At 41.5% G+C, this 20,752-nt stretch overlaps 2 protein-coding genes across 23 annotated transcripts, besides 7 other annotated features; one reads left to right on the top strand and one right to left on the bottom strand.

The window, feature by feature from the left end:
* Positions 1-335: 335 nt before the first annotated feature.
* Positions 336-15,899, bottom strand: DERL2 (derlin 2). Of its 13 annotated transcripts, none has more exons than XM_047436186.1 (8): positions 15,592-15,899; positions 14,945-15,395; positions 14,233-14,295; positions 11,891-11,964; positions 10,378-10,471; positions 9,469-9,664; positions 9,136-9,226; positions 336-3,871 (listed from the first exon to the last, which is right to left on the bottom strand). In XM_047436186.1, exons 2-8 carry the CDS (start codon positions 15,281-15,283, stop codon positions 3,766-3,768), a joined length of 963 nt encoding a protein of 320 aa, XP_047292142.1. In that variant the 5' UTR covers positions 15,284-15,395; positions 15,592-15,899; the 3' UTR covers positions 336-3,765. The 13 variants fall into 13 exon arrangements, 11 of the variants coding, with proteins under 11 accessions (XP_047292142.1, XP_047292141.1, XP_047292144.1 ...); XM_047436185.1 differs by having other exon boundaries at positions 14,233-14,298; XM_047436187.1 differs by lacking the exon at positions 336-3,871 and adding an exon at positions 6,931-7,081 and having other exon boundaries at positions 14,233-14,298.
* Positions 14,918-15,097: an enhancer, noted in NCBI's record as "active region_11576". NCBI's record gives its function as "activates an Ori minimal core promoter by ATAC-STARR-seq in GM12878 lymphoblastoid cells {active_cell/tissue: GM12878}" and the evidence as "EXISTENCE:reporter gene assay evidence [ECO:0000049][PMID:35858748]".
* Positions 15,138-15,197: an enhancer, noted in NCBI's record as "active region_11577". NCBI's record gives its function as "activates an Ori minimal core promoter by ATAC-STARR-seq in GM12878 lymphoblastoid cells {active_cell/tissue: GM12878}" and the evidence as "EXISTENCE:reporter gene assay evidence [ECO:0000049][PMID:35858748]".
* Positions 15,368-15,527: a silencer, noted in NCBI's record as "silent region_8071". NCBI's record gives its function as "represses an Ori minimal core promoter by ATAC-STARR-seq in GM12878 lymphoblastoid cells {active_cell/tissue: GM12878}" and the evidence as "EXISTENCE:reporter gene assay evidence [ECO:0000049][PMID:35858748]".
* Positions 15,368-15,644: a biological region, named in NCBI's record as "ReSE screen-validated silencer GRCh37_chr17:5389715-5389882".
* Positions 15,456-19,893, top strand: MIS12 (MIS12 kinetochore complex component). Of its 10 annotated transcripts, XM_047436696.1 has the most exons (4): positions 15,648-15,766; positions 16,083-16,145; positions 17,278-17,671; positions 17,905-19,893. In XM_047436696.1, exon 4 carries the CDS (start codon positions 17,945-17,947, stop codon positions 18,560-18,562), a length of 618 nt encoding a protein of 205 aa, XP_047292652.1. In that variant the 5' UTR covers positions 15,648-15,766; positions 16,083-16,145; positions 17,278-17,671; positions 17,905-17,944; the 3' UTR covers positions 18,563-19,893. The 10 variants fall into 10 exon arrangements, with proteins under 10 accessions (NP_001245148.1, NP_001245149.1, XP_047292652.1 ...); NM_001258219.1 differs by lacking the exons at positions 15,648-15,766; positions 16,083-16,145 and adding an exon at positions 15,456-15,502; XM_017025034.2 differs by having other exon boundaries at positions 15,648-16,776.
* Positions 15,477-15,644: a silencer, noted in NCBI's record as "fragment chr17:5389715-5389882 (GRCh37/hg19 assembly coordinates)". NCBI's record gives its function as "represses an EF-1alpha promoter that drives an FKBP-Casp9 reporter gene in an ReSE screen in HepG2 liver carcinoma cells {active_cell/tissue: HepG2}" and the evidence as "EXISTENCE:reporter gene assay evidence [ECO:0000049][PMID:32094911]".
* Positions 15,818-15,917: an enhancer, noted in NCBI's record as "active region_11578". NCBI's record gives its function as "activates an Ori minimal core promoter by ATAC-STARR-seq in GM12878 lymphoblastoid cells {active_cell/tissue: GM12878}" and the evidence as "EXISTENCE:reporter gene assay evidence [ECO:0000049][PMID:35858748]".
* Positions 16,158-16,267: an enhancer, noted in NCBI's record as "active region_11579". NCBI's record gives its function as "activates an Ori minimal core promoter by ATAC-STARR-seq in GM12878 lymphoblastoid cells {active_cell/tissue: GM12878}" and the evidence as "EXISTENCE:reporter gene assay evidence [ECO:0000049][PMID:35858748]".
* Positions 19,894-20,752: the final 859 nt, after the last annotated feature.

Consider the following 20,752-nt stretch of genomic DNA (forward strand, 5'->3'; position numbering starts at 1 on the left):
CTGAAGAAGTCTCTTGGGGTTCACCAGCTTTCATATGTAGATACTGACAAGCTAATAACTATTCAGAGAATATCCTGGTTCTTCCTTCAAACGACGAAGTGTCAGACACATTTCATTTTTAACTTGTCTGGGATGGTCTGTGGACTTAACTGGTCTGATCACGACCATAACAGCTGGTGGTCACCTTTGCTTTTCCGACCACCAAATTACTGCCCTTGATCATGTTCAGTTTCCCTCTATCCCACTTTCAGAGACAACCACAAGCTTCAGCAACTAGGCTCAAGCTTGCATGCATACACTTTAATCCCTCTATAATTAAAAATACCAGATAATACTTTGCTGATCAATAAACAAAGGTATTTATTCAGCACCCATGTGCCAAGCACTGTGCTAGGCACTGTGGTGGATACAAAAATTAAGACATGGTCCCTGCCCTTAAGGAGCTTACATTCTCATGAGGGAGACAAGACTAATATACATGTACCAGCTAGGAACAGTACAAGACAATATATAATTTGGCGTTAAGAATGTCATACAGACTTGAAGCTTTATAGGGATTCAGAGACAGACAATAAAATAGGCCTTAGAGTCAAGATTTTTTGAGGAATCAGGAACAAGGCCAGGCCTTGAAGAACTGAAGAGACTTAAGTTGAGGTCCCTGTTAGGTAGAAGTGGGAGTAAAGTTAAGAAAAAAACAAGTATGCATATAATGTAGGGGCTTACTAAGAAGTCACTGTGGATTTCTGAGCAGAGGAGTGACTTGATCATACAAGATTCAACAATTTTATTGCAAACTCATAAAATATGTTTAAGTAGCCTGGAGACATCCTACAGAACACAGAAAATAATGGCAGGATCATGACTAACAACATAGCTGGAACTCACCTGTCAAAGAAAAACAGCTACAACATAAAACACTGGCAGGATAGATGACAATAGTTCTAGGAAGCCCATTACTCAACATGGCAATAGCTCCAATGCTTCCTTATTTTCAGAGGCCCCAGAGACTGAGGGTTTCATTATCCAGACCCAGGACTTAGGTGTTCTGCTTCTAGAGACTACACAAGAGGTATGAAAGATATGAGGACATACAAGAGTGACACAGAAAAAACAAGAGGAAGAGAGAAACAAATAGAAATCCATACTGGAAAAAAACGCACCGAAATGTATATAAAATGTATCTCCTAAGGAGATGCAATTTGTATGTCCATTTATTTTTAAATGAACGTATACCGTATTTCCATAACAAACAAAAAACACTATGCTTTAGTCAAGTGTGCTTTTCAGTATCACTAGAAGAATCCAGGAATCCCTCAAATTATGTGTAAGGTTAGTTGGTTGGTCTCAAAATTCCATGTATCAAATCTCACTTTCAGTTTATTTGCATTGTGAAAGGGAAGTGTGTTCTGGAAGAACTAAGATTGAGAGGTAAATTGGGGAGAAAGTAAGGACTTTTCCTTATGTCCATTCAAGCACAGGTATCCTGTCAAGCAACACAGGGCTAGGAATGGTGGTTGTAGGGCTGGCCAAACTGATGAGAGGTGATTGAAATTACCACTGCTCAGGACACAGTGTAGTCAGTCACACAGCAGGGCATCCTGCCACTGGGAACTTGCACCCTATAAAATCGGAGAAATCAAAAACCCTGTAACTGCCTGCCTTTAGGCTGTATATTCAAAATGTATTTCCTGTTTTACCTAGTCATTAATGTATACAGATATTCCCTACTTAAATGAACAGTGAGTTAACAGATTTTAGGATTAGTATTTTACCACAAAAATGCCATTCATTGCATAACTCCAACTCAGGGAGAACAAATAAAACTAGAGAAACTCATTTCTAGCCCAAAAACAATTTAAAAAAAAAAAACAAAAAACAAAATTCTAACAAACGTCACTGATAAAGCGTTCTTGAGCAAAAACAAGATAGGATAAAACTTAAGAATCCCATAAGGATTATACATGCTAAGATTGGCTTTTAAACTTTGAAAACCTTTTTTAAACTGCTTAAAAAGCAGTCCCATAGACCCAGGTTCCATAAAATTGCAACAATCATATTCAAAGTTATTAGCAACATGTAAAATACTTAAATACCATTAGTTATGCAATTCCATTTAAAGACATTAAAACACTTTTCACTTCAAAAACAATCTGAAAATTCCTATTTAGGATGTCCATTATGTTTAAGCCTATGTCTATCTTTCTGAGGACAATGTCACATTCTGGAAAGCTACCCCTTAACAAAGGTTGAATGAACTACTACTAACAATCCACTTTTGGGAAAGGGACCTGTGCCTACATGCCGTTAATGAAAGCTGTTTGGAATCATCTCTTTCCTAGGGGTGCTCTTTCGACTCTTCCAGGTTCTGGAAGTTACTTAAGCAGTGTGAATGCAAACCTGCTGAGACTCAGGGAAGACTTAATATTTAGGGGAAGTATTTATTGAACCACAGCATTAAGTGTCTACTTCTGTGGACCCTGTCTAATTTCTACCTGATTGGGAAGGTAATCCAGGTACTTGGCTCTGAAAAGGTTCTTGAATTTTCACGAAGCAAATGACTAATGTTAACTAGCCAAAGACCCTGGAAGAACATATGCCTAGCTAACTGGTATCTGTTCGTCTGGCTCCAAAGTCAACATTCTAACTTGGTTTCCAAATCTAATGAAAATCTGAGACCCTGTCTCTATTTTTTTTTTTTAATTAAAAAAACAAAAAACAAAACAAAACAAAAAAGGCAAAAAAAAAAAAAATGGCTGGGCATGGTGGCTCATGCCTGTCATCCTAGCACTTTGGGAGGCTGAGGTGGGAGGATTGCTTGAGTCCAGGAGTTCAAGACCAGCCTGGGCAACACAGTGAGACCCCATCTGTATTTAAAAAAAAATTTTTAATTAAAACTTTTTTAAAAATAAAAGAAAAAAAAAGTCTAATGAAAATCTTCCTAGTTTTACAAAAATGTGGCCCTTACCAATCTTTCCCTGGATACTTCTTAATGGAGAAATGTAAGTAAAGCAAATAAGATGCCACATTAGCTTACAGCTGACTTTCCTATAGCTGAATTCCTACTGCTACAAGAACCATCCTCCCTCCTTTTTTTTCATGTTGTCTGACAAAGTTTGGCAAAACCCAGATGCAAAACAACCTATCCAGATGACAGAAATAAATCATCTTCCTGCTGAATCTTGCATTCTGAGTTAGTAAGATGTACACAACCACAGCATGACAGCCACGTATTTCCAATCCTGAAATGAAATCCAGTTAAAAGTTGTGAAGACACAGGAAGAACAGCTGTGTAAACTGTTCTGAGCTCAGATCTACGCAGGAGGGCTACAATACATTATCAGAATTTAAAAGATCACACACAAAAGCTTTAATACAGTGAGAGAAAAATGGAATTCCGTTTTATTTTGTCCTCTCTGAAACTTCCATTTACACCATGGCCTCATCTATCAAGAAGAGGAAGAAAAGGCTCTGCCTTATACCATAAAAATCAAGTACTCATGTACTTGTTAGAGGTGGCAGGATATTTGTTTCTCCAGTTTTTTGGCTCTAAGAAATTACACTTTCAGTACCAGTGTAGTGAGGAACCACTGGCAAACTGTTGGAAATGTCTTCTGGATTAGTCAGTGTACCATTTCATAAAGTGCTTCTGGAGTTAAAATCTGCCAAGCTGTCAAAAGTGTCCACACTTTTGCAACAAAGGATAAAAGATCCCAGTGGGTATCACCGAGTCCTTCCCAGCTGGGTCTCATTATTGGCACTGCTGCTTTAACCTCCAAGCCGCTGGCCCTCACCCCAGGCGAAGCCTCCTGGCCGTTCCTCAGGTAGTGGATTGTAATTTGGATCCTCATCTGGTGTATCAAAAATAGCTTTCCTAAAAGACAAGCAACAGATATAATTTGGTCCCAGAGTCATCTCAGGTCCAAAGTACTACAAGGTCAGTTCAGGCCCCATAGGGTTTCCACCAATAGGTAAGCATTACACCTGCCTGCCAATTAAACAGTTAACATATTGTAAGAGCATCTATAATTATTAACATTTACATTAGCTTTTATCTTTTACTGATTTTTACTACAAAAGCAATCCAAATCATAATAATTACAGAGAAGGAGGAAATAGAGATGAGCAAAATATCCTCAATTTCCAGAGGTAACTATTGTCAATGTTTTAGTTATTCTTTGGGAATTTTTACATTATGTCATTTTACAAAAGTTAGATCACACTACATGTTTTGTAACCTGACTTTCACATATTTATCATTAATGTTTCCCCATAACCAAGGTATCACCCAAGTGTGCATCAACAGGTGAATAAACAAAATACGGTACACACATATAATAGAATTTTTTTTTTTTTTTTTTGAGACGGGAGTCTCACTCTGTCGCCCAGGCTGGAGTGCCATGGTGCGATCTCGGCTCACTGCAACCTCCGCCTCCCGGATTCAAGCAATTCTCCTGCCTCAGCCTCCCGAGTAGCTGGGATTACAGGCGCCCGCCACCACGCCCGGCTGATTTTTGTATTTTTAGGAGGGAAGGTTTTCATCATGTTGGCCAGACTGGTCTCGAACTCCTGAACTCAGGTGATCTGCCTGCCTCGGCTTCCCAAAATGCTGGGATTACAGGCATGAGCCACTGCACCTAGTCAACATGGTGAAACCCTGTCTCCACCAAAAATACAAAAATTAGCCTGGCGTGGTGGCGCATGCCTGTAATCCCAGCTACTACTCAGGCGGCTGAGGCAGAAGAATCACTTGAACCTGGGAGGCACAGGTTACAGTGAGCTGAGACTGCTCCATTGCACTCCAGCCTGGGCGACAGAGCAAGACTGTCTCAAAAAAAAGGAAGGAAATTCAGGCACATGGTACAACATGGATGAACCTTGAGGACTTTACGCTAAATGAAATAAGAAATAAGCCAGACAAAAAAGGACAAATATTGTATGATTCCACTTAGGTACAGAGTAGTCAAATTCAGAGAAAGAAAATAGAATGGTGATGGCTGGGGTGGGGAGTTGTTTAATGAGTACAGAGTTGTAGTTCTGTAGGATGAAGAGAGTTCTATGGATGGTGGTGATGGCAGCAAAACAGTATGAATATACTTAATGCCACTGAACATTTAAAATGAGTTAAGATGGTGAATTTTATGTTAGGTATTATTTTACCACAAAATTTTTAAAAAATTAACAAGGTATCCCAAGAAAAATTACTGCAGAACATAGGAGGGGATAGTAAATGTCCAAAAGACTCCCTAAGTACTATGATGTAGTAATTCAAAACCTCACTAAAGAAGGAACCATTAAAGCAGCATCCTCAATTTGCACTTATATTTCTACTTGTAATCCTCCACAGTTGATAAAATTAGAAATGTATCTGAAAACTTCTGATTTATACTGGAGTCAGAAAATAGTATAATTCAAAATGAGTTTTTAAAATTCTTACAAATTAACAATAAAAACAAACATACCAACAGAAAAAATGGGCAAAGGGCTGAATATGCAATTCAAAAAGGAAATCCATGTGGTCAATAAACGTGAGAATGTTTGCTCTCACAATAATCAAAGGAAAGTATATTAGAAACTGAGATCCCGGCAGGTGTGGTGGCTCATGCCTGTAATCCCAGCACTTTGGGAGGCCGAGGAGGGTGGATCACCTGAGGTCAGGAGTTCAAGACCAGCCTGACCAACATGGCAAAACCCTATCTCTACTAAAAATACAAAATTAGCCGGGTGTGGTGGCGCATGCCTATGATCCCAGCTACTAGGGAGGCTGACGCAGGAGAATCGCTTGAACCCAGGAGGCGGAGGTTGCAGTGAGCCGAGATTGAGCCACTGCACTCAAGCCTGGGTGACAGAGCAAGAATCCGTTTCAAAAAACAGCAACGACAACAAAAACAAAACTGAGATCCCTTCTACTGCCCAAACATTAGCAGGATGGGGGTGGGGGCACAGCCTGGTATAGGGAGTCAAGAGCCCCATCAGACCATGCACACATGGAGGTGGCCTGACGAGATGTTAGCCCGAGTAGGATGGGGAGGCATCCCTGTAAGAGGGCAGCCTGGTCTGGGGAATCTGAGGGTGAGTGAGATAAGCAAGGCATCCATATGGGAGAGGTGGAGACTATCCCGAAAGACTGGTTACATATGAGGGGTAATTAGGTAGGTAAAACATTAATCATAATAAGAATCAGGTTAGGACAGATGGAAAGGGCAGATGGAAAGGAGTGGTACATTCATACAACCAAATAATATTCAGCAATAAAAAGGAACAAATTACCAATAAATACAAGAACACAGATGAGTCTCAAAAACATTATGTTGAATGAAAGAAGCCTTATACCAAAGAGTACATGCATACTGTACAATTCTACTCATGAAGTTGTAGAACATGAAAAACTAATCTACAGAGGAACAAAACCAGAATAGCAATTGCTTCTTGGGGGACAGGTACAATGATTGACAGGGAAGGACATCAGGGAACTTTCTGGTTGATGGTAATTTTCTGTCTTGATAGATACACAGATGTGTGCATTTATAAAAACTCAGTTGACACACTCAAGATTTGTGTATTTTGTTGCACATAAATACTAAACTCTAGTTACTGATATGCACACTCAAGTATACAAGGAATTAAGTATACATATAATGGCACATACATTTTGGATTGGAAAGCTAGATGTAGGGATAGGTGTGCAATAAGAATAGGGAACTATTAATTACAGAATCTATGTGGTGGCTACATGAAGCTCACTCCAATTTTTTTCTGATTTCCTATAAGTTTGTTAATTTTCATAATAAAATATTGGAGGAAACCAATAGGAAAAAAGCTAGAATGAACCATGAGGTAGTACTAGAAATGGGAGTATAGTATAAACCCATGTTTTAAAAAATACATAGATCTAAAAATATACACATGTATACATTATCATACATACATACATATAATTCCATTGCTCTGTTCACTGAGAGGATCTGGGAATAGCAACACTCCAATAGCAATGAGCACATCTAGCACCCAGATCTTGGCTTCTAAATACCATTCTCCACTTTAAAGGAACCAGGGCTCCTTGAAGAAACAGCTGATTCTAGGACTGGATCAAGGAGAGCACAGGATGAGCCTGGTATATCTTGTTGTGCCAGAAAACAATTGCAAAAAAATAAAAAAATAAAAAGTGGGGTGTAGTGGCTCACACCTGTAATCTCAGTGCTTTGGGAGGCCAAGAGACAAGAGGATCACCTGAGGACTGGAGTTCGAGACTAGCCTGGGCAACATAGAGAGACCTTGTCTCCACAAAAAAAAACATTTAAGAAAGAAAATAAGCAGAGCTTGGTGGTGTGCACCTGTAGTCCCAGCTACTCAGGAGGCTGAGGTGGGAGGATCACTTGAGCCCAGGGGCTTGAGTTAACAGTGTGCTATGATCATACCACTGCACTCCAGCCTGGGCAATGGAGTGAGACCTGTACTGCATATGTAATTTCTTGTAGGACTGAAATTGTTTCAAAACATTTTTTAAAAATCATAAACAATGAGACATCATCCTACAACTATTCAACTAGGAAAGGGTAAATAAAATGCCTTCCTTGTTTGATTAGGATGTGGGGAAATGAACAGTTATAAATGCTAGTTGAAATGTAAACCTGAACATCCATTCTGGAAGGCGTTTGGCAACAAAATAGGAATTCTACTTCTAGGAATTATCTTTTGAAAATAATCATGGATGTGTGCAGAGATTTAGCTACAAGGACATTCACCACTCCAATTACAGAAGAGAAAACCAAGCACTAACGTCAATGTCCATCAACAAGGGATTAGTATAATTACACCATATCCATACCATGGAATATCACCTGTTATAATTTTATAACACTTCAGGGTGGAAAAAACAATTATGGCATACTAAGTTTACAAGGTTACAAAAATTGTTTTTTGAGACAGGGTGCCACTCTGTCCCCCAGCCCGAAGTGCAGTGGTGCGATCTCGGCTCACTGCAGTCTCAACCCTCTGGGCTCAAGCAATCCTTCCACCTCAACCTCTCGAGTAGCTGGGATTACAAGTACATGCCACCATATGCAGCTGATTTTGGGATTTTTTGTAGAGATGGGGTTTTGCCATGTTGCCCAGGCTGGTGTCAAACTCCTGAGTTCAAGTGATCCGTCTGCCTTCACCTCTCAAAGTGCTGGGATTACAGGAATGTGTTATGTTGTCCAGGCTGGAATGCAGTGGCTATGTTAAAGGCCTAGCCCAAGAAGAGCAGTGGCTGTTCACAGGCGCAATCATAGTGTATGCAGCCTTGCCTGGCTCAGCGTTTTTTAAAAAGTACACAAAGACTGAAGAATACACATTGAAAAGTTAACAATGGTGGCCACTGCTATACCCAAGTGTCGGGATAGTGGACAATTTCACTTTCTTCTTTTTTGCTTACTATTCTACAACAAACATTTTATAACAAAAACTCACATTTTACTTCTCAATTGAGCCCTTTTTAATATGGCATCTCCCAAGGATACCAAATTCCAGAGTAGAAAGAGGTCTCATAAATCAAAGTTCTACTGCACTCCAGCCTAGGTAACAGAGTGAGACTCCATGTAAAAAAAAAAAAAAAAAAAAAAAAAAAAAAGAAAGAAAGAAATCAAAGTTCTATCTCAGGAAACTGAAGTGCAAAAAAGAAAGGACTTGCTCTATGGCTGGTCAGTGGGACAGCTACACCTGGTTTCCAGTCCAAAGCTATTTCCACTCTGCTTCACTGCTTATCTCAACCACCTGCTTGGCAGGCCACAAAGTCCACCATCAGAAACTTTCATCAGTTTTGCCCATTTTGCTACCTTACTTCACTAAACGTGGACAGCAGCTTTCATAAAACCAGCAGGCTCCTACCAGAATAGAAGTTCTAGTGGTCATCTCTAACAATTACCAGGTTACTCCCAAGATATCTTGAGCCTGTTGACGTTGGTCTTGCCACAACCCTGGCACTGTCTGCTCCTACCCAGTCCAAGTGCTCTTCAACTGTAGCCAGAATGCTCAATCTGCAAATGGTTACTGACCTGAGCTATGTGTACTAGGAGCTAGGGGAGCCAAAGAAAACACAGATCATGCCCCTGTCCTGGTTTGCCTGTAAGAGTATGTAACCTGGTGTTAAATACTCACAAAATAGATGGTGTTTTCAGAATTCTTATTCCACCAGGTTGATTGGGAAATACATCTTCCAAGAAAAAATATATGTGTCCAACTGCAATACCTAGAGTCAAGCAGAAATAAAGGATGAGGGAGAGAATTAAAATTTAGATTGCAGGTAGACCTACCAACACAAATTGCCTATATTTAGGATGAATGTCAACATAATTATTAAAAATTAATGAACTAATATTGTGGTATTTTACAATAGGTAATACGTGAAGGCCAAACAGAATAAACATGAAAAATAGTAACAAAATACTTTTACAGGTAAAATAATTTAAAAAATAGTGAGAAGAGCCTTACCCAAAAGGTCCACAATGATTGAGTTCCCCAACAACAAGGAAAATCCCATGAGCACCCAGGGCAGAAAGGGGGCCTGGAAGTTGAGAAGGCCGAAGAAGTTCATGCGGACATAGGGGTTCCTTCGGCTCCACACATAGACGAGCATTATTGTAAAGGCCTGGCCCAAGAAAACTAAGCTCACAAACAGACCAAAAAGCTAGCAGATGGCATTAAGGAAAATATCAACATTAAAAGTTTAATAGGAAAGACTGAGCAGGAGAACTAAAGATTGTGTTCTAACAGAAGTTTGAATTGGAAAAGTCAAGTTGTTACATCTTTAGAATAGAAGGAGAAACACCCAGAAAATAATTACCCAGAGCAATCAGGCAAAAATCTGCTTAGGCTAAATTATCGAGATTTACAGCTACTTCAAACAAATACTCTGCTTTCGTGAAGTTCTTGCCTCTTTGGAAAATGTGTTAATTCTTCAGTCAATAATTATATTAAAGCTTGCTCACGATTAGCACCTTTACAGAGATGAATAAAGCTAGCTGGAACAAAACCATCTTGTCAGACCGTACCATATCTAAGTCTATTGTATAGATGAAAATTCTTTTTCTGAAAAAATAATTTATTGGTTTTGGTAGCCACCAAGTAAATGTCTTACCAACTTAGTTTAAAAGTGAAGTACGCCAAGCAGTAATGATATAACTGAGTTGCTTAACAGTAACCCACCTGGGTTAAAAGTTCCTTTGACTTGCTCATCCTGTCCGACTGCTAGGTTTGGAAACTTGTCACAGAAAATGTGCTGTAAAATAAATGATAGTGCCCTGAAGCTAAGATCTAGAGAACTGTGGGAGACAGATGACAAGCTTTAGGAAGAGCCAGGGTGTTCTTCAACATTTTCCCGTGTTGTTTGTTGAAGGATACGGTCATTAAGAATCCACCAAAAAGGAACATAAATACAAAGTCTGCTGTCCGACCTCGGAAAGAGCCTTCTTCTAGCATTCGACAGTAACGATATCTTAAGTTCCAAGTTAAGAAAATATTAAGCACACGAATATGAACAAAGTAAAAATTTAATGTTATCTTGTAAGTACACTTGGATTCCATATTATTTGTAATTAGTCAAGTCTTCATTTGTATAAGAATGTTTGAGTGGTAATGTGATTACTTTTTTACCAAGCATTTGAGAAAAGGTCAAGACCAGCATCATTTTTTACAAACTGTCCCTGGCTGGGAACTAATCCAGATGACACACAGACATGCTTTCAGTCCCCTATTCTTTTTTTTTTTTCTTTTGAGACAGAGTCTCGCTCTGTCACCTAGGATGGAGTGCAATGGTGCCATATCGGCTCACTGCAAGCTCCGCCTCTCAGATTCAAGCGATTCTCCTGCCTCATTCTCCTGAGTAGCTGGGATTACAGTTGTGTGCCACCATGCCAGGCTATTTTTTGTATTTTTAGTAGAGAGCAGGTTTCACCATGTTGGCCAGGCTGGTCTCAAACTCCTGACCTCGTGATCCACTGCCTTGGCCTCCCCAAGTGCTGGGATTACAGGTGTGAGCCACCACACCCGGCCCTCCAGTCCCCTATTAAACCTTTAAAAATTTGTATTGTCTTTCCTGTGCTCAGCCACACCTTAATATGCACCATCTTTGCTTTCCCACATCCTAACTTGGAAGAAATCCGCAGCAAGAAGCCTTGTGTGCTCAACTACTTTTCCAGCCTGGCAGGTTGAGCACCTCAGTCAATAAAGATGAATTACGATGAGAAAAAACTTTAATGGAAACTTATCAGAATGATATCCTACATAGGATATAAAATGGATTCCTGCCATCCTCAGGAAGGAATGCAGCTGCAGATGAGTTGAACTGTAACTCCCTCTTAATACAGAGGGCAGGGGTGGAAGAGGAATGCCCTGCTCTGTGGCCCCAATTACCATTGGATCAGAGCTGGGGTTTTCCTTTCAACAAACCGGAACTTGACAAGCCCAGCAGACACAACCACTGTCTTTCAGCCAGTAGTTCCAGCAACCAGGACCCAAGGAGATCTCAGGTTCCCACTCCTCATGAACCCATTCCAAAACTTATGCCCAAATTCTGCTGAATTACCATTGCATTCAGGTTGTTTTACGGCTTCGAACCTGTTGGTTACTGTGGAGGTATGCCTCAGTTAAATCAATTCTCCCCTCCCTTGATCAGATTTGTAAGTAACAAAAGAGCAGAAGTGCTATCTTTTTATGGTTAAAACCTCCCATTTGAACAAAGTGACCTACAGACATTTTCAAAACATTACTACCTAAGCAACTACTTTATGTACCACTGACCCAGAAATCATAGCTAAGATGGTACCAAAAACAAGTAACAGGATGAAAAGTTTCAACTTAATTTTTTACTTCCTAAGAAAAAGTTTTGATGCTGACCCCATTTAATAAAGGATACAGAAAAATCATGTTAAATAAAAAATTGAATCCAACTGGCCCAAAAAATAAGAAGTTGGTGATTAATCTCCATATCTGTTAAAAAAAAATCAAGAGAAAGATGTATTAAGTAAAATAAATTACCAGGAAACAGTTCCATATTAATACAAAAGAAACATCCTATGACTGCGGTGGTTGAGAAGCCTTGGACAGAGTGATACTCTGTTCTGAAACAAAAACGGGGGCATATAATCTGATGTTAGATTTTTTTTGCTGCTTTTAGTTCAAAGTCTGAAAGACATCATTGGGACTGTGACATTTATAATAATAGGAAAGAAAATTTTAAATTGTGATCGTCGTATGGAGAAAGTTTGCTGGAAAGACTAGGTTAATCGGCAGAACAGAAAACAGTGCTTTCATATGTAGTATCATCATATAATAAATAGAACTGACATATCAGAGAAAAACTTCAGGGTCTAATATAAATTGCTGAGAAATGTTTACATTAGGCAGTCAGAAACATCTAAAAGAAAGGAAAATTCTTTTTTTTTAAACTAAAACTTAAAAAAAAAAAAAAAGAGATAGGTTCTCACTATGTTGTCCAGGCTGACTCAAACTCCTGGCCTCAGGGGATCATCCACCTCAGCCTCCCAAAGTGCTGGGATTACAGGCGTGAGCCACTGCACCCTGCCAAACACTTATTTTCTTGTTGGAAACCCTGATAGACCCTTCCCTACCCAACATCTCCACACCCACAGTAACCACTCTCAATTGTAGAGTGCTTAACGTTTTAAAATGTCTACTATCTCTTGTGATCCACAGACAAGCAAGCTACCCCCAATTCACAGATAGGAGACTAAAAGTTGACTGACTAGCTGAATACTAGTTATTCAGCTAAAAGTTGAACTTTTAAATGTCCTGACCAAGGACCCGCAGGAGTAGATGGAAACTCTGATGGCAAATCTAGAACTCCTAACTCCAAATGCACAGTGTCATCAAGAGTTTAACCCCAGGCAGAGTAAAGCCAAGTAGGAAGCAAGACTTACTTGGATGGAACTACAGCGCCATGTGAGTATTGTGCGAACACAGTGACAAGAGATGACAGGACTGCTTTACAGACCACTAAATTCTTGAGAATTGTTAACTATTAAAGTTGAAACAATTCAGTTCTACATATTAATTATCCAGATTTTAGAGTCCTCATCCTAGTGAGGAGACAAGCATACGCATAACTGCAAAGTAAAAGTGAGAGATGTTCTAAAACAAAGGAGGATGAGTACATAAAGGTTACACAAAAGCTGCGTTTTGAAAGGCAAGCTAGAGTTCAATGGATATAAAGTGAATGAAACACATTTGAGACAGACAGAACAGCATGTGTAGAGGCACAGTTATTGGCTTTTGGGTCTCTCCCCTACTCCAACTATGGTAAGATCATCCTGGAACAGAAAAATCCATCTCTCTTTTAGCATTTTATTTTGAGACAGGGTTTCGCTCTTGTCTCCCAGGCTGGAGTGCAATGGCACAATCTCGGCTCACTGCAACCTCCGCCTCCCGGGTTCAAGTGATTCTCCTGCCTCAGCCTCGCCAGTAGCTAGGATTACAGGCATGTGCCATCACGCCTGGCTAATTTTTGTATTTTTAGTAAGAGACAGGGCTTTACCATGTTGGCCAGGCTGGTCTTGAACTCCTGACCTCAGGTGATCTGCCTGCCTCAGCCTCCCAAAGTGCTGGGATTACAGGCGTGAGCCACTGTGCCCAGCCTCTTTTGGCATTTTAATCACTGGAAAGGACCATCTCCCATTGTAATCTAATAAACCACCATATAGCTTTAGATGTTTGGAATTTGGTTAGTATGATCTGATCCCTGGAAGACAGATCACAATTTAAAAGCACTAACAGAATTGAGTTTCTGGACCATGGTGATAACACCAAGGTGGTGGGTGTGCCTAGGTGCTGAATGGACAAAATAAGGCCATCCCTGTGAGACAACCCCTAAGCAGCTAGCTAGTCAGCCTCCTCTCATAGGACAACGTTAAGTCTAAACCAGTGATTTCCAAATACAGGAACTGGACACATCAAAACGATGCAGGGAACTTTAAAAATAAAACACAGATTTTAATTCCTACCCTTGCAAATTCTGATTTGGTACTTGTTGAGGAGCTTGAGAATCTCTTCAAAGTTCCCTAAGGGATTCTCAAGTCCAACCAGGCTGCAGAATCACTGCTTTATATCCTGACAAGGCAACTTATAATCAAAGGTCCCCACTGGGTTCTTTTTTAGGATAGTGTATAACAGGATTTGCTACTAAACAGTAAGAAAAAGAAGAAACTGAAGCATTAATCACTATTGTGATGAACCACTTACTTGAAAGTGTTTAAAGATTAATTCAGGATTGAAGTACAACTGAAAAGGTGTGATCAATTCCAACTGCTGAAATAGAAAAAGAGCTTCTTAAAGCAAATCAAGAAACAAAATTTCATCATTTACAACAAAGAATTAGTAGGTCTAGCAATTTCCAACTCTCGGTCACTTAGACGTGATTTCCTTTAAGCCTTTCTTCTTAGGCCAGAGGAAGAGGTTGGTAAAGAATTCTCTAGGATTGGTAGAATTCTTTGTATCCTCAATACCTAACACAAAAAAGTCTGTTTTATGTTGCAATAGTTGAGGCTGACATGAAGAAATGAGGCAGACAGGTGGTGATATTTTAGACACAGGACAAATAAAAACAGCTGCTATGAATCTACCCACCACATGGGCACCACCTGAAACAGCTGTATGAAACAACAAAACTCACTTGAAATAACGGAGACTGGAGACCCTGCCACCGTTAGGGCTGGGTACCTCCAGCTAGCCCCTTATTTAGATCCAGAGACCCTTTTTATTATAAGCCATTCCCCTCTCGACAGTTTCCAGCTTGCTTTCCCCATTCCTGTTTCTTCACTAAACGGACCTTCCTCTCACTAGTCACCATGGTACCACCTGGCCATTGGCAGAGCTCTCGGACACATTTCTTGGGTGGGAGGCTCCCGCAACCCTAACCCGCTATAGGTCCGGCGCTCATCTCTTAGAAACTGACCTGACCCCCCATGAAGCAGCACTCCCTTCTCGCGTCACTGGATAAGCATTCTTGGCGCCAACTCGAACCCCAGAGTAATCCCTGTACGCCTCCACCCATCCCCGGGACCAGCCCCTCTGGGCCTCCCCGAGGCCCAAACCCCAGTTTCCTGAAGACCCAGTCATATCCAGCCCAGATAATGAGAAGGTGGCACTGCAGCTGCTCACCACGGCGGCGGTGGTGAGGACGCAGGCAGTGGTGTAGGCGCGGCTGACCGGTGGGATCTGCAGGTACTCCAGCCGCAAGCTCTGGTACGCCATCTTCCCCACCGTCGCCTGCCCCACCCCCCACCCACCCCATTTCCCCTTCCGCCAGCAGGCCCCGGCGGCGGGGCGGGCCCAAAGGCCCCCCGCCCACTTTAGTTTTCCCGCGACTGCCCAATCAACGCCAAGCAACCGCAATCCGTAGAGACCTAAGGAACGCACATCCGCCAATCACGAGTTGCGTCGCCACCGCCCCCCCCCAGCGCCCCATCTCCCCACCCTCTCTTCTCCACCAGCCAACGTCCGGGAAAAACGAGTAAGTACAGGTTCCTTCTGCCAATCCCCGCCGGCCACAGCTAACTTTCCCGCCCGGCCCCTTTCTGTCATAATTGAGGTGTCCACAACCAGCCAATCAGGAACGCGAGAGTATCCCGCGTTTGCTTTCGCTCGCCGAGGCGCGTATCAGTCGGAATTTTGGGGAGCCAACCGCGCCGTCTGTCCCTGGCAAGCCAGCGGCGGTTTAAAGGAGGTGGCGGGAAGCCTGTGTGTGCTTCAAATCGTCACCCTCATGGTCGCTCCGGTAAGTGCTGCGGGGCAGCATTTTCTCTGAGGAGGAGCGGGGACGGGCGAGACTGGCATAAGCGTCTTCGCGAGGGAGCAAGGCGGCCTGTGGGTCGGCCTCACCCCGGCCTCCGACCTGAAGATCCCAGCATGCAGCGCGGGCGCGGGGCCCGACGGAAGCCGGGAGCCGGCCGGAAGCAGTTCCTGCGCTCTGGCTTCTGGGTCCTGTCCTGCGCGATCGCGGGGTCTTAGACAGCTCAACTCGCCGAGATGACCTGGGCACCTCTGCGTTGAATCGGCAAATACTGATCAAGCCGCATTTATTCTGCTCTCAGGAACTCTAAGTCTAGCAGAGAAGATGAGGCGGTAGAAGTTCATCAGTCAGTGCCCGAAGAGAGGTCCTAATGGGAATTCGAAGAAAGGAGTTAATCAAGGAAGTGTATTTTTTTGTTGTTGTTTGAGATGGCGCCCACCTGTAATCCCAGCTACTTGGGAGGCTGAGCTAAGAGGATCACTTGAACTTAGGAGGCAGAGGTTGTAGCGAGCCGAGATCATACCACTGTACTCCAGCCTGGGCGAAAGAGTGACACTTTGTCTCAAACAACAACAACAACAAGAAAATTAGCCAGGCATGGTGGCCTGCACCTGTTGTCCCGGCTACTTGGGAGACTGAGGTGGGAGGATTGCTTGGGCGCGGGAGGTTGAGGCTGCAGTGATCTGTGATCGTGCCACTGCATTCCAGCCTGGGCGACAGAGCGACAACATGTCTCAAAAGAAAAAAAGAAAAACAGAAAGAAATCCTACCTTACATATACAGCCAAACAGTTATAACCACTCCATATTTAACCATTACAAACGTAAATTTTTATTTTATTTTATTTTTTGAGACAGAGTCTCGCTCTGTTGCCCAGGCTGGGGTGCAGTGGCACAATCTCGGCTCACCGCAACCTTCGCCTCTCGGGTTCCAGTGATTCTCCTGCCTCAGCCTCCCGAGTAGCTGGGATTGCAAGTATCCACCATCACGCCTGGGTAATTTTTGTATTTCTAGGAGAGATAGGGTTTCGCCATGTTGGCCAGGCTGGTCTCGAACTCCTGACCTCAGGTGATTCGTCCATCCGGCCTCCTAAAGTGCTGAGATTACAGGCATGAGCTATCGTGCTCAGCCTACAAACATAAATTCTTAAGATTGGCTGCATCTTATCTTCCCATAAGATTTGACTGTACTGCTTATTGCAAATTATTTCATAAAGTGCGTCCTAAATTCACCTGATAATTGAAGTAGCAGTTTGTTTTAGCTAATTGCCTTTATCTGAAGGAATAATAAAATTTCTCTTATTTCTATGACAAGCAATATCATTTCATCTCAGAAAAAGATGCCTAGGTTGAATTCCCACAATGACAAGGAGATAGGGGTTTTATTTTCCTAGATGTTTATATTTGAGAGGAATTACTCGCAGACCCTTGAAAAAACATGTCAGGGTTATAAAGCTGACAAGGGACTTACTCATCTTCTAATTGGGTTTTTTTCAGATGGCTTGGCTGGAGGACAAGCAAATTGAGGACATTGGCAACGGAGTGATCAAAATGATAGATCATGAGGCCTAAAATGAATAAGGAAAGAAGAGAAGTGGCAGAGGCTGAGAACAGAAAGAGAGGGTGGAGGGGCTGTAAATCTTGAAGATTAGGGTATAATATGAGTATATGGGTAAGAATTGGAAGAATTGTGTAGGAGGCAGTAGTCAAAAAGTAGAAGCAGTTTGGAAGAGTAGTTACAAATATCAAGAGCCAGGTGGCTAAAAGGTGGAGCTATAGGTCATTGAAGCTCAAGAAACTGAGTCTCTAGGGCATTGGTTAAGTCATCTGTCTAGACTTCAAAGTTGTCTAGGATGATAATTCAGAAGACTGATCTGTGCCAAAGTCACAGGTAAGGGAAGTGAACAACGAGGAGGGGAAAAGGGAGGGTATAGGCTGATGGAAGGAGCCTCAGAGAGGCAAAGAGTTTATATCCTGTTGTGGGAGTGGCATCAGGTATAAAGGAACACAAACTCCTTATTTTTTATTGATTTGCTTCTTTGTTTGCTATCTGTAATGTGATTGGTTACTTCCTGCAGAAGATTTTTTTTTTCCAAATGAATTATTTCCTTTTTACATTTGCAGGTTTTTCACGACTGAAAACAACATAGCAAAATAAGCCAAGATGTCTGTGGATCCAATGACCTACGAGGCCCAGTTCTTTGGCTTCACGCCACAAACGTGCATGCTTCGGATCTACATTGCATTTCAAGACTACCTATTTGAAGTGATGCAGGCCGTTGAACAGGTTATTCTGAAGAAGCTGGATGGCATCCCAGACTGTGACATTAGCCCAGTGCAGATTCGCAAATGCACAGAGAAGTTTCTTTGCTTCATGAAAGGACATTTTGATAACCTTTTTAGCAAAATGGAGCAACTGTTTTTGCAGCTGATTTTACGTATTCCCTCAAACATCTTGCTTCCTGAAGATAAATGTAAGGAGACACCTTATAGTGAGGAAGATTTTCAGCATCTCCAGAAAGAAATTGAACAGTTACAGGAGAAGTACAAGACTGAATTATGTACTAAGCAGGCCCTTCTTGCAGAATTAGAAGAGCAAAAAATTGTTCAGGCCAAACTCAAACAGACGTTGACTTTCTTTGATGAGCTTCATAATGTTGGCAGAGATCATGGGACTAGTGATTTTAGGGAGAGTTTAGTATCCCTGGTTCAGAACTCCAGAAAACTACAGAACATTAGAGACAATGTGGAAAAGGAATCGAAACGACTGAAAATATCTTAATTGCTCAGTAGTCAAAAGGAGGAGCCTGTCAAAAAGTAGAATCATAAGGACTGTTCAAACCATAAGGACTGTTCAAATCATACCAGTGACTGTTCAAACCAACCATACTTTTTATTAGATTTGCTTTGTCAACTCTTTCTTGTATTCTGTGTTTTCCTCTTTTTTGGTCCACTTTGCTGAGGTATGAAGTGTACTACTTTGAACTAGGCTGAAGCATCTGAGTCTTCTAATAAGTGGGAAGGGATCCAACAAAGAAGCCATGACCAGTTAAAGATATTTGCAGAGTTACACCTTGGTCATAAGTCCTTTGTGACCTTGATTATTTTGGCTTACTCTTTGGATGAGACCAGACAAGAAAAGGATTAAACGGGTGGCTCCTTTAATATTATTATTATTGTTTTTGAGACAAGGTCCCTTTCTGTCACCCAGGTTAGAGTAGATTTCAGTGGCACAATCTTGGCTCACTGCAACCTCTGTGTCCTGGGCTCAAGTGATCCTCCTGCCTCAGCCTCCCAAGTAGCTAGGACCACAGGTGCGTGTCACCATGCTTGGCTAATTTTTTTGCAGAAACGAGGCCTCACTATATTGTCCAGGCTGAGTGGCTCTTTTATTAACCAGTCATTACACTGCGGAACAGCCAACATAGAGTACTTGCTCTCGTCCTGTGAATTTTCTTTCATGAGGGAGTCAATATGTAGTGGAAAGAAGCATGTAGCAAAAAAGACAACCTTGATCTTTAATAAAAAAGAAGTTGGTTTATTTCCAAAATAAATCCCCTGACAAAAAACCTGGTGATGTTAAGCAATTGACTGTCTTAGAGTCCAGCAGAAGACCTTAGACAAAAAAAGCAGAACCCACTGGAGTAGAAAAGGAAGCATGTAGCATATACTCAGTAGTGAAATTTAATTTTACTGACTGTTAGGTATCTATGCCAATTTGTTTTCATACTTCAGTTGGTTTTGGAATCTGCCTTATACCTAATATTTATTTATTCACACTCATAAGCATCAAATATTTAATGCCCTCAGTGGGAAATTTGTGTTTAAACTCAATGGAATCTAATATTTCTTTATGTCGTTAGTCCCTGTAAAATGTTAGGTCACCCAAGGAAAGGGGAGAAATAGCAATGGTTGTTCCTAAGGTATTGCTTGCCCTCCATGTCTTCCTAAAGAGCAGAACTTGGAGTTTCTCCTTTATGTAGAGAAGAAGTAACTTAGGGTGTATTTGCAATGAAATATTCATAGATATTGAAAGCTTGTGTTTACATGAAATATGTTTATTATCAAGAAGTCCTTTTTCCAATTCTGTACATTAAATATATGTGTTTTAAAGGGTTTGGTTTTTTATTTTCTGCTGTCTATAATGCCATGGTATATTTCTTTCCAGTATGACTTTTTACTCAATTGAAAACACTATCTTTTTCACATTTATAGCTTATTCAGAATCTGCTGTAGTGGGTCGAACAGTGATCCCTCCGAAGATAGGTCCATGTCCTAATTCCTGGAACCTGTGAATGTTGCCTTATTCAGCAAAGGGGTCTTTACAGGTATAATTAAGGATATGGAGATAAGGAGATCATCCTGCATTATTTGGATGGACCCTAAATCCAGTGAAAAGTCTCCTTAGAAAGGCAGAGGGAGATTTCAGACAGAAAAGGAGGAGGTATTAGGACCTAAAAGCAGGTTGGGGCCGGGCATGGTGGCTCACACCTGTAATCCCAGCACTTTGGGAGGCCTAGGTGGGCAGATCACTTGAGGTCAGGTGTTCAAGACCAGCCTAGCCAGCATGGTGAAAACCTGTCTCTACTAAAAATATAAAAAATTAGCCAGGTGTGGTGGCACATGCCTGTAATCCTAGCTACTCGGGAGGCTGAGGCAGGAGAATCGCTTGAACCCGGGAGGCGGAGGTTGCAGTGAGCAGAGATCGTGCTACTGCACTCCAGCCCGGTGACAGAGCAAGACTCCATCTCAGAAAAAAAAAAAAAAAAAAAAAGTTTGGAGTAATGCAGCCCCCACAAGCTGGAAGAGGCAAAGAAGAGATTCTGCCTTAGAGCCAACAGGTGGATTGCATTTCTGGCTTCCAGAACTGTGAGAGAATATGTTTTAAGTCATCAGTTTGTTACAGCAGTCACAGGAAACAATATACCTATTAGTAGGCATGTTAGTGAAATCAGAATATTGAGATGTTCAT

This window comes from Homo sapiens, chromosome 17 (assembly GCF_000001405.40).
Source record: "Homo sapiens chromosome 17, GRCh38.p14 Primary Assembly".
Classification (NCBI taxonomy): Eukaryota; Metazoa; Chordata; class Mammalia; order Primates; family Hominidae; genus Homo; species Homo sapiens.